Source organism: Homo sapiens, chromosome 18 (assembly GCF_000001405.40).
Source record: "Homo sapiens chromosome 18, GRCh38.p14 Primary Assembly".
NCBI lineage: Eukaryota > Metazoa > Chordata > Mammalia > Primates > Hominidae > Homo > Homo sapiens.
The window spans coordinates 74,370,485-74,392,353 of NC_000018.10; the positions used below are offsets into that span (position 1 = coordinate 74,370,485).

The 21,869-nt window shown below is 45.6% G+C and overlaps 1 pseudogene, besides 1 other annotated feature; it reads right to left on the reverse strand.

Annotated features, from left to right (window-relative positions):
* Positions 12,974–13,832: an enhancer, noted in NCBI's record as "NANOG hESC enhancer chr18:72050693-72051551 (GRCh37/hg19 assembly coordinates)". NCBI's record gives its function as "activates a minimal SCP1, AML or CMV promoter by ChIP-STARR-seq in naive H9 embryonic stem cells {active_cell/tissue: H9 hESC(naive)}" and the evidence as "EXISTENCE:reporter gene assay evidence [ECO:0000049][PMID:30033119]".
* FAUP1 (FAU pseudogene 1) lies at positions 19,346–19,872 on the reverse strand (annotated as a pseudogene).

Below are 21,869 nucleotides of genomic sequence, written 5' to 3' on the forward strand. Positions count from 1 at the left end.
TCAGGGAGGGAGCTGAAATATGAGGATGCTATGCTGTTCCCACTCACACAATGATTATGAGCAAATACCACTATGTCACTTGGTATATTTCCATCTTCCCCTTGTTTCTTTTAAAAAAATTTTATTGTGAAGAATATAATGGATTCAAAAGAGTTCATGCAGTCATGTGTACAACTGAAAGAATAATAGTGAATAATAATGAAACAGAGACCTTGCACTCTCACCCAGGCTGAGAGACAGACCCCCGCAGGAACTTCAGAAGCTTCCTAAGAGCTCTTCCAGGGGTCGCCCTTGCTTTTCTTTAGAGTTTCACCACTGATGTATCCATCTCTATACAGTACATCGGAATGTCATCTAAATGGACTCAATACTGTATGTGTTTTTCTGTGACTTTTTTCTTTTTCTCAACATTATGTTTTGAGGTTCAACCCTGTCAATGCCTTAGTTGTAGTTTATCCATTTTCATTTAGATATACAGTCTCATCATATGAATCTACCATAATTTATCTAGTCCACTATTGAAGGAATTTGGATCATCCCCAGTTGTCATTTGTTTGTTTTTGTTTGTGTGTGATTTGCATATGTGTAAGTTTCTCTGGACCCTAGAGGTGAAAGTGAAGGGAGAACCACCTTTAAATTGAAGTGGCATTTGAGCCGAGTCCCCAGTGGTAAGAAAGAGGCAGCCATATGAACAGAGCAGAATGTTCCAAACAGGAGCGACGCGTGCCAAGGCTGCGGTGAGAAACTTGGGGTGCTAGAGGAAGAGCAAGAAGGCCCGAGTGGCCAGTGTGTCGGGAGCCCATGGGAAAGCCGTAGAGATGAGATCTAAAAGGCAGACAGACGCAAGATCACGCAGGCCAGTCAAGGCTGGATGCAGTGAGTGGAGTACAGGGGCTATTCTGGGTGACATGTAGTGAACCGATTATGCATGTACAAAACAGAAGGCAGGAGGACCATGAGGAGGCTGTTGAAATAATACAGGCAACATGCAATGGTGGCTTAGATAAGATGAGCTGGAGGTGGAGAGATGAGAACGAACACAATTTTTTGGAGAGAGAGAGATGCATTTGTTGCTGGGTTGGACATGAAGCGTGAAAAAAAAAAGAGAGCAATTGAGCTTGAGTCCTGCATTCTTCCTGCCTTGAGAAACCAGGTGGCTGTCATGGTGGGTACTGGAGATGCAGAAGGCTAGGGGAAAGACAGAGGTGTTTTAGAGATATGAGGAAAATAAAACTTTTGTGTTAGCGATGTTAGGTTTGAGATGCGTAATAGACACCCAGAGAATACCTCTGAGAAAGGTCTGGGTTGGAGAAGTCAGCTTGGCATCATCAGCAGATCACTGGTAGTTAAAGCCATGGGAGAAAATAAGATTACCCTGGGAATGTCTAGAAAAGAAGAGGTCCAAAAGGAAACCCTAAAGTACCCTCAACAGTTTTTAGACAAGATGAGGGAGAAAAGCCAGCAGAGGATGCAGGGGTGAGAGGAGAGGCAAAAGGGTTGGGGTGACAGAAGCCAGGAGCTGAGAGTGTGTCTGGAAGGATGGTTTGCTCTACTGAATGCTGCCAACGGGCTAGAGAAGATGAGGACAGAGGCGTGGATCTGATCAGCAATGGTTGGTAAGCTCACAGAAAGCAGTTTTAATTCAGGGGTAGATGATATACCTGGTCAGCGTGCATGGGAGTGAATACTGGGTAAGGAAGTGGGGACTGTAACCAAGATCAGATCTTCCCATAATAAGTGTAGCTTTCAAGGGAGCCAGAGATATCAGTGTAAAGCTGGAAGGGAATGCAGGGTGAGACGAGGGCTTTTGTTCATTTATGATGGAAGCTATTAGAGAATGTGTGTGCAGATGGGAAGAATTCATGGGAGAGAGAGACATTGATGGAGCAGGAGAGAACGTGACTAACTGCAGGGATGAGGTCCTTGAGAAAGCAAAAGATGACCCAGAACACAAGAGGGGAAGGTGACCTGTGATTCAAGCCGAGATGCTCACACAGAGTAATTTATATTAGTAAAAAATAGGAGCAACCTAAATGTGCAACAATAGAAAAATTGTTGTTTAAATAGTTATAGCATATCCACAAAATAGAAAGTCATAAAAATTATTTTTCTTTTTTTTTTGAGACAGAGTCTTGCTCTATGGCCCAGGCTGGATTGCAATGGTGTGATCTTGGCTCACTGCAACCTCTGCCTGCCGGGTTCAGATGATTCTCCAGCCTCAGCCTCCTGAGTAGCTGGGATTACAGGCGCTCGCCACCACGCCTAGATAATTTTTGTATTTTTAGTAGAGACGGGGTTTCACCATGGTGGCCAGGCTGGTCTCGAACTCCTGACCTCGTGATCTGCCTGCCTCGGCCTCCCAAAGCGCTGGGATTACAGGTGTGAGCCACCACGCCCAGCCAAAAATCACTTTTTTGGGTTATGATGTATGTGAAAAAAGTAATGTACAAAAAAATTTTAATTTTGAAAAGAAAAATACACATCTGTCTGTATATGTATAAAAAGTTATGAAAAGAAATGCAACAAGACATTCCCAATGGGCTGGGCGCAGTGGCTCATGGGAGGCCGAGGTGGGCAGATCATTTGAGGTCAGGAGTTTGAGACTAGCTTGACCAACATGGTGAAAGCCGCCTCTACTAAAAATACAAAAATTAGCCCAGCATGGTGGTGGGCACCTATAATCTCAGCTGCTTGGGAGGCTGAGGCAAGAGAATTGCTTGAACCTGGGAGGCGGAGGTTGCAGTGAGTTGAGATCATGTCATTCCACTCAAGTCTGGGCAACAGAGCAAGACTCTGTCTCAAAAAAAAAAAAAAAAAAGACATTACCAGTGGGTATTTTGTGTATTATTTTGGGTGACCCATTTTTAAATACTTTTAAAAAGTGTCCAAATTTTCCATAATGAATATGAATTATTTGTATTATCAAGGAAAAAATCATTCATATTATTGTTTTTTTAAAAAAGGTGGCACGAGGCACGGCATTTTGCCGTCAAGCCAGATAGCTATTTCCTTTTGTTTGATATGTGCAGATACCACAGGAGTGATAGTGTTAAATTTAGGTTAATTCCACTTTGATTTTCTCGTCTTATTCTTACCTTATCTGTTTTATCTCCTTTGTGGCTTTAGGCCTGTTTCACTCAGAGACGTCACGTTATGGCTTGTGCTGTTTCTAGGGCACTAGGTAAGCACCCACATCCTTTTGAACATGCGAAGCTAATACATATGTAACAAACTTGCACGTTGTGCACATGTACCCTAAAACTTAAAGTATAATTAAAAAAAAAAAAAGTAAATAGTCAAGCCAGAAAAGCCTAACAGGAACCTGCCAGATACCTTCACCCCAGTACCGCTCATTAAAGGGGGATGACTTAATGGGAGGACCCTGTACACTTCCAGGGAATCCCAATAACATATTTAACTGAGAAATGATAGTTTTAAGTAACTGAAGCCACAAAAACAGATCTGTTTTCTCAATGATGAATATTTGAGCAACTACTTGAGCTGGGATAAGTGGCTTCTCAGGAACCTCATGAGCCCCCAACAGAATTCAGGGCGGTTATTAAAAAAGAAAGACAAATGGATGCTGGGAGATGCCCAATGTTGACTGCGAACTGTGATCCAGGAATGCTGATCTTCTCAACCTGTAACTACAAATTAAGTGGTCATATTTCCACTAAAATAGGCTTTCATTCATTTGTCAAATAGATGTTAAGCACTCAATAAGTGCCAGAAAGTGTGCAAGGGGACAGATACACAATGTGATATACAAGACGAGACCCAGCTGCTGGGGAAGACAGACAATTAAAGAAATCACGAGCATAGGTTAAATGCCACCACAAAGGAAGTACAATGAGCTAGAACGGAAGCGTATAGCAGGACCCAGCCTTCCAGAAAGAAGAGAAATTCCATGGGTGGGAATTAGCAGGGTGAATTGGAAATAAAAGAGTGGTCAGGCAAGGAAAATGTGTGTGAGATGACCCAGAGAAGACCATGAGAGCTTTAAGGAACTAGAGACATCAGTAAGGCTGAAGTGCAAGGAGAAAGTAGTGGTGAGAGGTGCAGCTGACAAGAAAGAACTGGGAATTTGGGGTTGGAGATGACTTAAGATAGGGGGATCAGGAGGCTGTGACAGCAGGACAGAGGGAAGGAAACTGATTAAGAGTTATTTAGGAAGTACAATTGACAGGATTTACTATTAACTGAATATGGTAAAAGCTTAGATGACTGACCTTAGACTTCTCTTTGCCAATAAAAGCATGAAATGCTATAATCCTCAAATCACTGCTTTAGCTATATCTCACAATTTTGACATGTTATATTTTCATTTTCATTCAGTTTGAAATACTTTCCAATTTCCATTTAGAAGCTTATTAATTTCCAAATATTTGTGGCTTTTCCATATATTATACCTTTCTCTTATTGCTATTTAGTTTTATTCCACTGTGGTTACTATTTTAAATTTATGTAAGCTTATTTTATAGCCTAATGTATGATCTGGTATAGCGAATGTTTTACAAGCACTTATGAAAAATATGTGTTCTGCTGTTGTTGAGTAAAGCCATCTATACATGTCAGTGAGGTCAATTGATTAATACTGTGTTCGAGTCTTCTATATCCTTACTGATTTTTTATCTACTTGTTCTATAAATTATTCAGAAATTAGTTTGATTCCCTTGAGGTTTACTTATAAGCTTTTTGGGGCCTAGAGTAGCCTTTATTCCAGGACTGATTTGACTCCTCTTCTAAGTCATGGCCTTTCTGGGGCTTGTTCTAAATGCCCCATATATTCAGTGAGGTCTCTCTCTCTGGCTGGAGGGAACTTGAGTGATTTTTGGCTTTGCAATTTTAGGGAATTGTTCATTTTAGAACTCCTCACCAGGTGCAGTGGCTCATGCCTGTAATCCCAGTGCTTTGGGAGGCCGAGGCTGGCAGATCACTTGAGGCCAGGAGTTTGAGACCAGCCTGGCCAGCATGGTGAGACTTCATCTCTACTAAAAATATAAAAATTAGCTGGGTGTGGTGGTGGGTGCCTGTAATCCCAGCTACTCAAAAGGATAAGGCATGAGAATCACTTGAACATGGGAGGTGGAGGTTGCAATGAGCTGAGATCATGCCACTGCACTCCAGCCTGGGCGACAGAGTGAGTGAGACTCCATCTCAAAAAAAAAAAAAAAAAGAACTCCTCATAATTACTCTTTCACCAGAAGCTTTTCTTATCTGGCCTTATATTTCTATAGACTTCTGTTTTAAAAAGATTCCATGAACTCATGTGCAGATTTCCGGAGTACTTTTATCTGTGTAGCCCCTTCCCTTGAGAACTCTGCCTCACAGGTTCTTCACAGAGCCGCCTGGCCTTCCCCATCTCTGACCTCTGTCTCTGCAGCTCTGTGAAGCTGCCTCACTTTTTTGGAGTTCTCCCTCCCTGGACTGTAGCCCAGGACTTATCTCTAGGCAGAAAGGCCAGCTGATGGTAGGGCTTACCTTGTCTTCTTCCTTTTTCTCAGGAATCACAGTCTTGTTTTGCCCTATATCCAAATAGTGGCTTTCTATATTTTATCCTTTTTTTATAGTTGCTTACAGAGGGAGGGAGATCACAGGCCGTCTTACTCCCTCATGGCCAGAAGCATGAGATCACTAGCAGATCATTAATGAGATCCAGAGACGATGGAGAAAGCAATGAGTCATGCGCAGTTTTGAGGTTACTGCCATGGGCAAGCAGGTGGATGATGGTCCCATTCACGGAGATGGCAAAATCCAGGGTGATAAACATGGGTAGGGGAGGGCATGAAAGAACTTCATGGGTTTACTGTTGTGTATGTTGGATCTGAGTCACTTGCAAGTCATTAAAGAAGCGAGTAAGCAGTGGAGGTTACAGAACAGCTCCCTCACGAGCTTCCACCTCCTTCTCTTCATTCCACTCTGGGCTGCAGTTGCCATGGACTAGTGACCCCTTCCCAGGGTAATCAGCAGTGGTTATAACCACTTATTTTAGAAGAAAAATTTATTTGTGAAATTTAGTTGGGATAATCCAGCCCCACAGTCTTCCAAATTATTAGGGTGCATGGCCCAGCATTGGTACATTTCCCAAAGGCTGGATTGTCCTTTCTAAACAACACAACAGATGAAACACCAGTAACCTAGTGCAAGTAGCACGGCCCCAAGCCCAGTTCATTCCTTCCCTTTTGCAAGCTGCACGGTCCCAAGCCCAGTTCATTCCTTCCTTTTTGCATAGCACGGCCCCAAGCCCAGTTCATTCCTTCCCTTTTGTAAGTTGCACAGCCCCAAGCCCAGTTCATTCCTTCCCTTTGTTTTTCCCCCGACCTGACCTTAACTTACTTTTCCTCCTGTCTTTCTCTTTTTCCTTTACAATGATCTCTCCCCCACTGCAGAGAAGTGAAGAGAAGGCCAAGCTGTCAGGGTTTCCTACAGCATGGGGAACTTCTCTAGGGACCGCCTGTGAGGAGATATGCACCAACTCCACAAAAATAAGCAATAAAATATTTGCACATTGTGGTCTATAGCCATATTTGGGAAAGAAAATTATTCTAAAAAATTATTCTAAAGAAACACAATCTGCAGCAATGTAACTCTGACACCGTAATCACAACCTTTACATTATTATCCAAAGGGGTTAGCTCCTTGGAGCCTAAGCCACATTATATCTTCTTCCTGGAGGAGGTTCATTCCCCACTGGGGTGATTTCCAAGAAGAAAGAAGGCCTCAAAAATAAATTCAAGTTTCTATCCCTTAGGAGGCAGGAAATCGCAGGAACTTTAAATTTACAACGTTTAAATATTATCTCTTCATTAAGGACGTGTGTGTGTGTGTGTGTGTGTGTGTGTGTGTGTGTGCGCGCGCGCGCATATATGTACCATTTATATATAAATAAAACCAGCCGGGAGCAGTGGCACTTTGGGAGGCTGAGGGGGGCGGATCACCTGAAGTCAGGAGTTCGAGACCAGCCTGGTCACCATGGTGAAACCCTGTCTCTACTAAAAATAAAATAAAATAAATAAAAATACATAAAAAAATTAAAAAAATTAGCTGGGTGTGGTGGTGTGTGCCTGCAGGTCCCAGCTACTTGGTAGGATGAGGCAGAAGAATCACTTGAACCTGGGAGGCAGAGGTTGCAGTGAGCCAAGATCATGCCACTGCACTCCAGCCTGGGTGACAGAGTGAGTCTCTGTCTCAAAAAAAATAAATAAATAAAGTAAAACCTTGGGATCTGGTCTCAACTTGCATTTTATTACTATTGTTTGATAAGGAAGAGAATCCTGTATTGGGAGCACTGGCTAGAAAATGTGGATTTTGCTTTGTTTTCTATAAGTGGCTACAGCATAAAAATAACCTCTGAATCTCGATGAGTATCTATTGATATCTAATGCCAGCTCCTTTTTCTAAGTATAATGGTCCCTGGAAAGTGTTGTTCAACTTCATTGTTACAACACTGGAATTCTAGTAACTTTGGAGACACTGTGGTGGTTTCTGCTGTTGCAGAAGAGTTAGAATATGATTTAATTGGGTGAGAGCTGTCCTCAGGAAATGCTGTGAAGGTCCCTGCCTTGTAAGCTAACAATCAAAGGAGTAGTTGACAAAAATATAGTGAAGAAATTCTGGAGCTGGTAGTTTGAATTCCTGTAAGTCCTTAAAATCACAAATTTTAGAGAACCTGGTGATATTTAAAGAGAAGAAAACAGAGCTTTTTGTTTTTGCCATTCAGAATTGTGTACTTTGAAAGAGGAAGTGGGATGAAGAAAGGACTATAAAGTGAGTTATGGTGTCCAATGGTAACCTGCAACAGCTTCAACTCAAAACAGCTTGAGGACATGTTTTATTCTCCGGGTCCTTAAAACCATGATCTCTACCCACACTCCCTAAAACTGGGGATTTTTAGCCACATCCGTCCCTCATCTGAGAACACCACATTTCTCCCTCTGTCAACATCTTGAGGAGCTCTGTGCCAGCAGCCACCCTTGCAGTTTAGTTCATTCCTCCATCAGGCTCCAGTTTGGAATCCAGTCCTGATTTGACCGCAGCCTCATGGGAGAGGCTGTACACTGTCTAGTCATGCTCATGACCACTGGAAACCTCCACACGTCATGCAGCTGCCCAGCCTGGGCACCCACAGCCCAGCTTCTCTCCACATGCAGACCTGTCCTCCCTGACTGCTGGCCCAGCTCCTGCAGTCACCCAGCAGCTACCAGAGGGCCCGGCCAAAAATCACACAAGACTTTTACTCAAGTTTTCTAAAATAAGATTGCTTATAAATGCCACTGACAACCATGTTCATAGTTTCGACTTCTTAATTTCTGCCAGCATTTCTACCTTAGAAGTTTCCACCAGCTTCCTGCCGAGCAGTCTTCATCTGTCCCCCTGATGGACTCCTGAGGACCTTTCTATCTGCACAAGGTAACAGGTAGGAGCTGGAGGGTTTCTTCTAAGACGATTCTGTGGAAGAAAATCCAGAAGACACTATGTGGAAATTATTAGATAGGAGATTAGGATCCAACAGGACATGCTATTGTATCTGTTGCCTCAGCCCCCCACAACAAAGAGTTCTCTACCCAAAATGCGAAGCTGAGGTTAAGAGACCCTGAGCTAGAGAACATGAAGGTACACCTGCTGACCCTCATCTTAGAACTACAGAGTTATAAAAATTACATTTTCTGTAACCCAAAGTTACAGAAAAATAGGACCTAATCTACACCAGCAGTCCCCAACCTTTTTGGGACCAGGGACTGGTTTCACAGAAGACAATTTTTCCACAGACCAAGGTTGGGGGATGGTTTGAGGATGCTTCAAGCCCACTGCATTTATTATGCACTTTCTTTCTATTACTATTACATTGTAATATATAGTGAAATAATTACACAACTCACCATCATGTAGAATTAGTGGGAGCCCTGAGCGTGCATTTCTGCAACTAGAAGTCCCAACTAGGGGTGATGGGAGATAGTGACAGATCATCAGGCATTAGATTCTCATAAGGAGCGTGCAACCTGGATCCCTCCCATGCACAGTTCACAGTAGGGTTTGCACTCCTACGAGAATCTAATGCTGCCACTGATCTGACAGGAGGCAGAGCTCAGGCAGTGATGTGAGTGATGGGGAGCGGCTGAAAACACAGGTGAAGCTTCACTCACTTGCCTGCCACTTCACCTCCTGCTGTGTGGCCCAGTTTCTAACAGGCCGTGGACAGGTACTGGTCCATGGCCAAGGGGTTAGGGACCCCTGATCTACAGGATATAATTACATTGGAGGAAAATAACTTGGACACACAGCATAGCTAATAAAGACTAACAAGTGGCCCAGACAATAAGTGCTCTGAGTTCAGTGGACAAAGAGGGTCCTCCTGGGATCTGCTTCCATCTGGCACAGGTAGAGAAGATGCCTCTGTGAATTGCAGACTTGAGAAGAACCCTGAGAAATGGGTAGGAGAGGCAAAAGAGGACATTTGCAAATGTCTGATGCTGGAAATTTACAGATGTGTTGGAGGCAGGGAGTAGACTGGCTTGTCTAGAATGGGGGATTATGAAGAGAAGTGGTAGGAATTTAGGTTGTAATGGTGTATTGGGACCAAATGATGGGGGCCTTCAGGCGGCTTGGGATTTTACTCAAAATGATCTTTTTTTTTTTTTTTTTGAGACAGAATCTCACTCTGTCACCCAGGCTGGAGTGCAGTGGTGTATTTGTAATCTTGGCTCACTGTAACCTCCACCTCCTGGGTTCAAGTGATTCTCCTGCCTCAGCCTCCCGAGTAGCTGGGATTACAGGTGCCCGCCACCACGCCCAGCTAATTTTTATATTTTTAGTAGAGATGGGGTTTCACTATGTTGGCCAGGCTGGTCTTGAACTCTTGACCTCAAGTGATCCATCCATCTTGGCCTCCCAAAGTGCTGGAATTACAGGCATGAGCCACTGCACCCGGCCCACAGTGATTTTATAATCACTAGAAAGCATCCGGTAAGTTTATAAAATAAATGATAAAGATGAGAAGGGAGACCTGCATTTTGAGTTCTCCTCCCGCAGTGTGGCTGCTAACAATTCTATTTCACGCCTCTGCTGCCTTCCCCCTAGACCCGAGACAAGTAGACGTCCTCATGCTGCCAGTAAGAGATGGCAGCAGAGGGGGAAGAAAGAAATGCAGATTTTTTTCAACCATGGGAACCAACAGCAGGGAACCCTATATCCCCACTATCCTGCATTCATTCAGGCAACAAACATTTATTGCCAACTGTTTACAGATGTTTGAACATTGATTCATTATGGAATCATAAATCTCAGGTAAGAATGAACCTAAAATGCAGTCCAGGGCCTTAAACAAGGGCCTTCAATGAACTTGAGTAGAAATAAACCCCTGATGTGAGTGAGTTTCCAAGGCCACAGGAAGAGATGACAGTCTGCTTCCTACCTGTACTGAGCAGGCCTGTAGCCAGAAGCCCTGGGCCAGTGCGGGGAGGGGACTGGCTTTCAAGCTGTGTCTGGCAGTGGCGGTGGGATTGTCTTGCTTCACATTTTCAAACTAGAAACAACACTGTGTGGCACCATTGGTGTTTGTTAAGACATTGGATACCAGTAATTCTAAGAACTAACCAAGCAGCAGCAGCTCTGCATCCCCACTGCCGGGTAAGGATTATGGTCGGGCTGTGGAGCCCATCAACATGTGAAAAATAAAACGGACCCCACGGTCACCTCCCCATGGTCACCTCTGCCAGAGAATCAAGCCCACCAGGCAGTAAATTGCCGAGACCTGCTCAGTCGGGGAGACCCTAACCCAGCGGCACTAGAGGAATTAAAGACACACACAGAAATATAGAGGCGTGAAGTGGGAAATCAGGGGTCTCACAGCCTTCAGATTTGAGAGCCCCGAACAGAGATTTACCCACATATTTATTAACAGCAAGCCAGTCATTAGCATTGTTTCTATAGATATTAAATTAACTAAAAGTATCACTTATACGAAGGGATGGGCCGAATTAAAGAAATAGGTTGGGGTAGTTAACTGCAGCAGGAACATGCCCTTAAGGCATAAATCGCTCATACTATTGTTTCGGCTTAAGAACACCTTTAAGCGGTTTTCCACCCTGGGTGGGCCAGGTGTTCCTTGCCCTCATTCCCGTAAACCCACAACCTTCCAGCTTGGGCGCTAGGGCCATTATGAACATGTCACAGTGCTGCAGAGATTTTGTTTACGGCCAGTCTTGGGGCCAGTTTATGGCCAGATTTTGGGGGGCTTGCTCCCAACAGTAAATGGCAAGAGTGAGTCCTCGCCCTCAGAACTGCTTTTAGACAAAGACCGCTGCTTGCCTGAGGTCTCAAAGGCCGTCCTTGTCAGATGCAGCTTCCCAGAGGCTCAACATCGGCTGAGCGGTGCCCTCGTCCTACTGCAGGAGCCGCACCCGGGAAGAAGAGAGAGAAATGCTGCTCCCCCGTGTCCTTCTAGCCAATGGCTTTGGCTCTGGGGGACAAAGTAACAGGAAACCATTTCTAAATCCTCCTTGTCTATGATTTTTGCCAAGTCAGTTTCAGGCAACGGGGAGGACAGCTGCCCTTCTGGAGTACATGTGTTCTTGGAGAGGCTGTCCCACCCTGCACCTCTGGGGGACAGCTGTTAATGGCCTGTGGACCAGGGCCTCCATCCGCACGGGGAGGGGCAGCCTGCAGACAGTTTTTTGTGTCAAAACTGCTAACAGTGCCCCGTCCAACGCCCTCCTCCCCACGGGTGAACAGTCCTCCTTATGAACATCTGAGCCCCATGCCATAACTTCAAGTTTTTCAAAAGCTGTATTTGAGTTCTACAAGACTCAGCCATATTCGTGTTAAGATGTAAATCTCACATCGCACCTGTGGCCCTTCTCCTCCCGCAGAGCAGACCCAGACTATCCCTGGGAAATTTGTGAAGTCTGTGCATTGTGGGGAGGGGTGGTAGGAAAGTAGGGGGCAGGGGCTGCTCTTTCCCCTTCCCTCTCCTGGCTCAATCTCCGACAGGGGCCGGGGAGGATGAAGAGAGGCAGAGACAGCTCATCTCCAACACAACAGCCCTGGCAAAGCCTCTCCCTCTGGGCTGATCATGGCTGCACTTCCAGCCGTGGATCTGAGGGCTAATGTGCAGTCTACGGGCCAGCAGCCCCGTCCACCCAGCAGAGCCCTGTGCCCTGGTCCCAGGGAGGCTCGGAGCTTTCTCTGGCTCCACGGGCCCTGCCTTTGGGATTGGAATCTTGGGTGATGGCCCTTGCCCCCTCCTCCTGGCTGTCCCAGCACACCATGCCTGCTCCAGGAGCTGTGGGCAGGTCAGCTTCCCCATGGCTGAGCAGATGCCTCGCTGGGAAGGACATGAGGTGCCCTTTCCTCGAGGACGCCTGGGACATGATGAGGGGTTCCCTTGGGCCTTGCTGCTCCTCTTTCCCCACTCCCCTGGGGAGGTGCAGGGTGGGGCAGCCTTTCCAAGAACACACGTACTCCAGAAGGGCAGCTTCCTCCCTGTTACCTGAAACGGCCTTGGCAAAAATCATAACAATGAGAAAATTATGTGTCGATGAAGAGTTGAAGTCTGTAAAATATTTGAAGAGATTTACTCTGAACCAAAAATGAATGACCATGGCCCGTGACCCAGCCCTCAGGAGGTCCTGAGAACATGTGCCCAAGGTGGTCGGGGTACAGCTTGATTTTATACATTTTAGAGAGGCAGGAGCCATCAATCAAATACATTTAAGAAATACATCGGTTTGGCCGGGCACAGTGGCTCACGCCTGTAATCCCAGCACTTTGGGAGGCCGAGGCGGGCGGATCACGAGGTCAAGAGATCAAGACCACCCTGGCCAACATGGTGAAACCCCGTCTCTACTAAAGATACAAAAAATTAGCCAGGCGTGGTGGTGCGTGCCTGTAGTCCCAGCTACTCAGGAGGCTGAGGCAGGAGAATCGCTTGAACCCAGGAGATGGAGGTTGCAGTGAGCCGAGAATGCGCCACTGCACTCCAGCCTGGGGACAGAGCGAGACTTCGTCTAAAAAAAAAAAAGAAAGAAATACATTGGTTTGGTCCCGAAAGGCGGAACAACTCAAAGACTCAAAGCGGGGTTGGGGGACTTCCAGGCTATAGGTGAATTTGAACATTTTCTGGTTGACGATTGGTTGACTTTGTCTAAAGACCTGGGATAGATAGAAAGGGAATGTTCAGGTTAAGATACAGATTGTGGAGACCAAAGTTCTTTTGAAGTCTTATAGTGGCTGCCCTTAGAGACAATAAGTGACAAACGTTTCCTATTCAGATCTTAGTTAATCTCTTCAGGATTGGGAGGGTCTGGAAGAAAAAGATCTAGCTGTGTTAATAGAGATTCTTTACAGATGCAAATTTTCTCCCACAAAGAACAGCTTTGCAGGGCCTTTTCAAAATATGGCAAAGAAACATGTTTTGGGGTAAAATACTTTGATTTTCTTCTTTGTCTCATAATGTTATGCCGGAGTCATTTTGGAAAGTAAATCACAATATATAGGGTTAAATAAAACCCATCTGATGAGAATTTGTGATTTGTAGGGCATGACTCCTCAGACCCCTTAGATAGGAATTTGGGCAAGATAAAAAAATCAGAGTTTAGTCCTCATATGGCAGTGAAGGAGATCTGATCTAGCCAATCCCCATCTTGCCTTAGGCCTTCAAATCACCCTTGATTATTCCTGGACTTGGGTCAAACTTTGGGAGACACGGAGTTTATAGTTTAGATGCTAATAGCCTTTCTGTAAACTCAGTCACCTTTGTAAAGCTAATGCAAAGCTACCAGGCTAGGAGGATGAGAGGAGCCTGAATTCCACTAAGGTGTGGATATAAACATTACAAACCATTATTCCAGAGCCACAGGATATGCACCTTCCCCAGTTACTCCTGTGGATAACATCACTATTGTAGAACCTTAGAGAGGCCTTGTGAGATATCGTTTCAGGCTTTTTTTTTTGCATGTCTGATGACTGAAGGCTCCACCTGGACCCACCAACTGCTCCTGTGGCCCCACCCAGAAGCGACTCATGGTGCATGAAGACCATTTCCCACTGCCCTGTGTTGCACCCCCAACCAGTCAGCAGCAAGCACCCATTGCCTAGCCACCCCCACCATTCTTCCCCCAAACTGTCCTTGAAAAACGCTAGCCTCCAAATTTTTGGAGAGGCCGATTCAAGTAATAAAACTCCAGTCTTCCATTTAGCTGGCTCTACTCGTGTAAATCGCTTTCTCTACTGCAGTTCCCCTGCCTTGATAGATGGGCTCTGTCTGGGCACCAAACAAGGAGAACCCATGGGGTGGTTACAAGTCCTCCCCTGATGCTAGGTGGGGCTCCATCAAGTGCTGCAATGGTGTCTTTCAGCAAGTGACAATCCCAGTGGCTGTGGTTTTCTAAACAGAGTGGGGAATTCTTGGTGCCCCCAATCTTACCGCTAAAGGCAGCCGGTGTTAAGTTTCTTATGATTCCTTAAACCCCTTCCACACTGTGCTTCTCTAAGCGTACATTAATCTATCCATTTATTTTTTAATGGCACGAGAGGGACCCTGCGTGCACAGAGCCCCACATCTCACTTTTCCTACAACTACATTTTGGAGAGCTTGTCATATAAGCCTACAGGTAACAGCTACATCCTAGTCCTTCAGGTGCATAAAATGCCATTCACCCACCACCAGCTCTGTACTAGTGAAGACATGGTTGATTCAAACTTTGTGTGCTGTTACCGACACAGCTGCAGCAAGCACCCTTTCCTCGTCCACAGCATATGCTGCCTGCAGAGCTTGCTTCTGGTCTTTTTAATGCATGTGATTCTGCTAGGAGAGTATCAGCTCCATAGGAATTCCCTGACTTTGATGAAGGATCATTGTTACGAACATTCTGCCTAATGGTAACCCTTACATGTGTGAGGCATCTTACACCAGACCAAGCACGCACACACCTATCTTCTATTCACAACACCCTGCCAGCCAGAGGATTTCCCTCCCTCCTGGCCACATATTGGAACCCATGGGTGGGGGACTTTAAACATCCCCGTATTTGTTACCAGGGGCAGGTATCTGAGTTACCACGAGTTACTGGTGGCATATTCGGACAGGTCTGCATCAACTTCAGCCGTTGCCTCCTCAGAAGAAAGAATTCGATGAGGGGCATAAAGCAGAAAAAGAGACCGAGAAAAGTTTCAGAGCAGGAGTGGAAGATTATTATTATTATTATTATTATTATTATTATTATTATTATTATTATTATTATTTTGAGGTGGAGTCGCCCTCTCTGTGGCCCAGGCTGGAGTGCAGTGGCATGATCTCAGCTCACTGCAACCTCCTTTAGAACAGGAAAGAAATAAGATTCACTTGGAAGGGACCCAAGTGGGCACCTGAGGGTCAAAGAGCAAGTGCCCATTTAACTGTGATCCTAGGACTTTATAGGCCCGCCTCTTTCCCATGATTCTCCCCTCGGGGCGGGCTTCTCACATGTGCAGTGCCCTCTTTACCCTTAGGAAGCGAGCATGCACAGTGCATTTAGGAAGTCATATGCATGCCCATCTGAGGCTTTCTTCCCTTTGCTGTGGAGTGCCCCTGGAAGGTCAGACTTCACCATTTTGTCTCTTAACGTGCACGCCCAGGAATTCTTTTCTCCCTGGCTCTGCATTCAATGAACACTTTAATGTTAACAGCTGTGGATCATCAGGAGACTGTCTGTCCTTGGTGCGCTGGCACCAGCTGCTAAATTATTGTTTTTAGAGAGACAGTGTGATAATTGTCGAACCATCACCTGGCATTCCTAGTGGATGGGAGGAGAGCCCTTTTCTGCCCATGCCAGGCTCATGCCTGTCTAACTACCTGTAATATATACAGGCTGTACCGTACAGCAGTTACACCAGAGCTCTGAGGATGGGACCCAGGTCTCAGTGTTGCCTTTAAAACCCTGGGTGATTGCAGAGGGCAGCCAAGGTTGAGAACCTCAAAGCCATTCTGGAAATGTGAGCAGAGAGGCCAGACGGGAGGTGGTGGTCTGACTCCACCTCAGTGCATATGGAGAGTAAAGGTAAGACGCTCCTGAAGTGTCTGTCCATTTACGAAACCAAGACAGACTCACCATCTGCACCCACTGCATTTTCTCAGCACCGTTTTCCTCTTAGCTACTGCGTTCTGACTCTCCCACCTATGGAGTCCTAATAAGGGAAAGGGAGTCAGCCTGGTAAGAATAGGGGAGAGCAGAAAGAAAAGCAGACAAGCTCTCAGTCTGCCTTTCTTTGTGGTCCAGGACACATAGCCCTCCTGCACAAATAACTCACAATCTTCCTGCACCTGGCTTATCCTCAGACACCTTGGCTGATAGAAACATGCAAGTTAGCTCACTGCAACCTAGGCAGCCCTCTCCAGCACAAGCACCATCCTATAAAACACCTGCAAGCCTGCATCTCCTGGCAGTCAGCTCGTCTCTTGCTAATCTTCGTCTTGCTTTCTTGCAACATATTTTCCTACTTTTTCTAATAAACCTGCCTTTCTTACCTACAACTGTGTTGGTAAATTCTTTTTACCACCCACATCACTGGCCCCAGATAGTTGCTACGCGCACCGCCACCCCCATCTCTCCACTGAAAATATCCCTAACAGAGGCCACCAAGGCCGGATCTCATGCCCACCTCTCAGCCACAGCCATGTGGACTGACCCTCCTGTGACATCAAGCGGGTGGCCCCCACCCTTCCTTCTGAGGTGTGTCCCCAGGCTATGGGACACCAGCTGCCTTGGCTTTCTTCTGTCTTTGGTTGTTCCTCCACATATTCCCATTCATCCCCCTCTCCTTGCATGTTGTGTTCCCAGGATTCTGTCCTCACTCCTACACTCTCTAGGGACCTGGATCACTCCATGGCTCTAATTACCACTTATATGCAAACAATTTCCAAGTCTGTATTTCCAATGCAAACCTCTTTGCCTAAGCTCACTCAAGCTGGTCATCTCTACATCAGTGCCTAGTTAGCACCAACGTTCATCAGCAAATGCCTGAGTTCTGACTCTTACCATATTCTCCCTCAGTTGCTGCAATAACCTCAGCTAGTTTACACATCTCTGGACTGGCCTCGCAAACCTGATCCGTTCTTACAATGCAGCCTGAGTGCTCCTTCAAGATGTAATATTTCCATCTCCCAGATTTATAACCATGACGACTTCTCCAAAACTTTCAGAGGATGATTCACTTGTTTTGGCTTAACCTGCAAGCCTCACTCCTCTCTAACTTCATGATTGCCAGGACCCTTTCGTTCCCACTACAACGAATGGCTTACCCTTCTCCCAGGCCTTTGTGATCTTTCCTCTTGGCCAGAAATGCGTTTCTCAAGGTGGCATAGCTCTAAAGCCCACCTCCACTGCTCCCCCTTTTCTCACGTCCATGGAGCTTATACGCAGCTGTCATCTCACATTTACTTGGGTGTACCACCTCCCTCCCAGGCCATCAACTCCTTCAGGGCCATTCTCGTGTTATTTCATTTTTTTCTTTTCAGACCCAGCACCTGAGAAAATATTAAAAGAACTTCTGAGATCCTGAAATGAGTTGTTTTTATATATGTTATTTATTATTGTGCTAGTTCAACCAGCCAAAAAAAGTGCAGTGTTGCTTCTTACATGAAATTAACTAGATACTTTTCTTTTGTTGTTAGTTTTGTAGCCAGAACAATGGTTGTTTACAGAAGGAACAAAAATGAAAAGGATCTGCAGGTACAAAGTCACCTGTTTCCTGCACACACCTCTCTGTATTGTCTGGGTCCTATATTAGTATGTTTCTCATTAATTGAGAATATAAATGTTAGAAATAAATATGTAGGCACACACAAGGCATTGCCAGTAAAATGTTAATCAATGACCAGATACAAAGAGGCTGGGGAAGGCTTTAAAATTCCTGGCTTGGAGTGCAATGAAATTTCATCAGCCCCTTGGGCCTGCTGGGACCAGTTCAAAGCTGATGGGGTGTGCTGCCTGAGGCTGCCAGGAAAGTGTTAGCAACGGGTGAGGCTGCAGTTGTGCCTCAGAGAATGGGTAGGGTTTTGGAACCTGGAAATGTGGATGCAACAGCAGATTCAGAAACTGGAAAATCCAACAGCAGGTAGGCAAATGGTTTGATGTACATGCAACTTCCCAGAGACATGTCTATGGCATGGAGGTACCTGGCACTGCACAACTCCATCTCATGTGTTGACTCCCTGAGGGCAGAGAGGGCTGAGTAGCACCTGCAATGGGTCCCCAAAGTCAATCCATGCAGGACCTACTGTGGGTCACAGGCAGAATAGGCCTGAAAATGCCATTGAGGTGCTCCTGGTTGACGGTGCCAGCCCGGTTGATGGTCCCCAAAGCACAGTGCATCTTCAATGACAGTGGTTCCTAAATCCATGGAGTCTTGGCCCTTCCTTTGTCAGATTTAGTTTGGGCACCCCCAGCAGGATACAGTTCCTGAACCTGGTTTCAGTTTGAGGAAGCCAAGGTTGGGGTTGGAGCTCTCTGCATGGAGTTTGGGGAACACAGCCCATTTCTCTGCCAGGAAAGCAGTGGAAGTGACATAGCTACGCTCGGTGAGGACAGCCTTGGTTTTGTTCAAATCACAAAGGCAGAGCTGCCTTCCCCTCCCTGCCAGCAGGGCCCAGGCTCTTTAAGCCTGGTCCTGGGGCTTTCCGTAGACTGTCCAGAGAGATGACACTCACCATTCCATTCCTTCTCTTGATTGTGACAGAGTCTGAACCTGGGGAGGAAATGATGAACCTGTGATCTTCACAACTTCTCCAGATTAACTGGATCAAAGCCTGCCTCATGGTGAAATTAGCTCTTCAGGAAGTGTCTGCTCAGCTCGTTGTAGAGGATGCAGTTCCTGCAGGCTCCAGATACCATCTGACACCCACCAACAAATTCTTTCCTCTTGTTTTTCGCCTTCCTTCCCGGATCCCTAACCCTAGTCATTAATCTTTGTCTTTCAAATGTTTTCCTAGACCGTGGGAGATGGAATGAATCCTAGTGTGGTCTGCCTGCATTCTGAGAAAGTCAGAGATAACATGGCCACGAGGCCAGGGGAGGAGCACTGGGGGTCAGGTCCTAGGACCTGCTGCCTACAATCACCTGGATTCCAAACCCAGGCCATGAACTGACTGCCAGCCTGGTGTGAGGGGGATGCAGAGTAGGTGAGCCCCAAAGTGGGGCTTATCCTGTGAGGTTCTTGGCTTTGCCCAGGAAAGAATTCAAGGGCAAGCCAGAGGAAACAGCTTAACTGAAGCAGCAGTGTGACAGCTTCGTGACTGTTCCTGCAGAGACAGAGGTTAGCAGTTCAAGGCAGTTCTGCAGTCTTATTTATTTATTTTATTATTATTTTTTTTTGACTGAACTAAGTGGCTTTTTTTTTATTAGAGAAAGCTAGAATTACAAAGGACTTAAGAGTTGGCATTGGGTCCCTTCTTCTTGCTAAAGGTGGGCACGACATTGACAAAGCGCCGGTTGTACTGCATCCGCCGCGTAGCCTGACCTGTCTTCTTCTTCCTCTTCTTCTTCTTCTTCTCCTGTTTGGCCACCTTAGGAGTCTGACCTCTCACTTTTCCAGCACGGGCCAGGGAACCATGGACTTTACCTCCAAGCATGCGGCCTGCTACTTCCAGGGCAGTCAAGGCCTCCACGCCGCACTGGCCCAGAGTGGCCTCATCCTCCAGCGGTGCACCTGCCAGGAGCACGACTTGATCTTCCGGGGCAATGCCCTCCAGTGAGGCTACATGAGCCTTGATCTGGGCGACCATTTCCTGGCCAGTCACCTCAAGGGTGTGTAGCTCCTGGGCGCGGACAAAGAGCTGCATATTGGTGACTGAACCGCGGTCCCAGCTGCCACTACTGCGAAGATGGAGTCGAGAAAGAGGAAGAAGCGAGGGCGCGTCCGTACAGACCGCGGGCTGCATGTCACGTCACTGCTCAGTCATATTTATACCTACTTTTAATTACATGTGGACTAAGAGGTGGTTTATGGAGAAATTTCCAGGTAAAAGGCAGTAACTTTGGGGTTGTCAGGTCATTGCCATAGAAAAAGGCAGTAACTCCCGGGTATTGCCGTGGCAATGGTAAACTGACATGGCACACTGGTGGTTATGTCTTATGGAAAGCTGCTTCAACCCCATTCCAGTTTTAGCTAGTCCTCAACTTGGTCCAGTGTCTAAGCCCTGCCCTACATGTTGAGTCTCAACTCCCACCTCAAGGGCACCACAGCAGAGAGCAGAGAGCTGCAGCCAAAACCCCAGGTTTCATGGGACTGGCTCATTCATGCTGGGCAGATGGTCCCCCGACAGGTCTCCCCTAAAGTGCTCCAAGTCCTTCTCAATCCCTGTATGTCACAACTCTTATTTTAATTAGGCATAAAAATTACATAATGCAGAAATTACATAATGTGATTACATAATTACATTAGCCTTTGGGGTTGGAGTATTCTGATTTGCTAAATAAGACCACCAGAGAATTATCTACAGAAAAAATACCTGCTTTAGAACAAGTGAAGCATCCAGCACAGTTCTCATAAGTATTGGTTGAATGAATATGTTTTGGGTAAAATACTAAGTAAGTCATATAACACATTATATATGACATGCTATAGAAAGCTTGGAAAATATAGGGAGAAAACTACTCATAACCTCACCATTATGACCCAACTGTTGCGGTTTTGTGGTTTCTCTTTTACTTTTTACATGCAAAAGTCAATAGTTCTCCTCATCGTGTTCTGGTGATCTTGCAGCTTGATTTTCTTCATCTTAAATGTATATCATGACCAGCTTCCCATGTTGCCCGTATAATCCACATAATTACTGTGTCAATGACTATGTTTCCGATTTCATGGTGAAAATGTTTCATCGTGAACTTACATTTCCCTAACATTAGGCATTTATGTTGCTTATAATTTTTGCCATTTTTACATAATGCTGTGATGAACATCTTATTCCATATAGCTTGCTTAATAATATTAACAATTTGATGCAGCTACAGCAAATCTGAGTTTCATGATTCTTATCTTCATGATACTAAGCACTTAGGCTTAGCACTGAGAAGAGAAAAAGACATTTCAGATGATAGTCAATCCAATAAAAGCCTTTGTGTGTTTAATCCTATAATATAGCAAAACTTCATTAAATCAGATTAACTAGGGGAAGGTAAGACTCAGTTAGTGGATCTAAGTAAGGAAATGTTATTTTATTACTTCTAATTACACAGAAATGCAAGTTTGTTGTTTAGTTTTTCCAAGTGAAAATCCTTCAAGATTTGCAAATACTATTTAATTTGTGAGAAACACTGACAATGTTAAGTTGACGACAATGGGCACTGATAATGTACTTACAACATAGTTGATATAATCTAGTGGCAAGGTGATTTTAAAATCCGGACAGCATCCTGGCCAGCTGATGGGTGACTTTGCATGGCTAGGAAGCAGTAGGATGAAGTAAGGCATTGCCGGAGGTTTGTCTAAAGAGCAAGCTCATATTTTCCTGCTTCTGCTATGTAGGTGACTTGGTTGCCACAGACAGGCTGGGGTTTCTTCTCCACAGACATGATCCAGGCTCTTGGGCTGGGAGAACTACATGGCTGAAAGCTGGAGCACGCTCTGAGGAGAGGGGAGAAAGGCCGACAGCAGTGCCCAGCACAGAGCAGGTGCTCCATAAACATGTATTGAATTAATTTTTGATGAATTAGTAATGATTTAATTGGATAGGGAGGCTGTGATAGTTTGCCTCTTTGCCTACTTGGCCAGGCCATGGTACCCAGTTACTGAATTAAATGCTGACCTAAGTGTTGCCATGGGGTCTTTTGTAGATGTGGTGAACACCTACGATCAATAAGACAGATTACCCTTGATAATATGGGTTGGATCAGTTG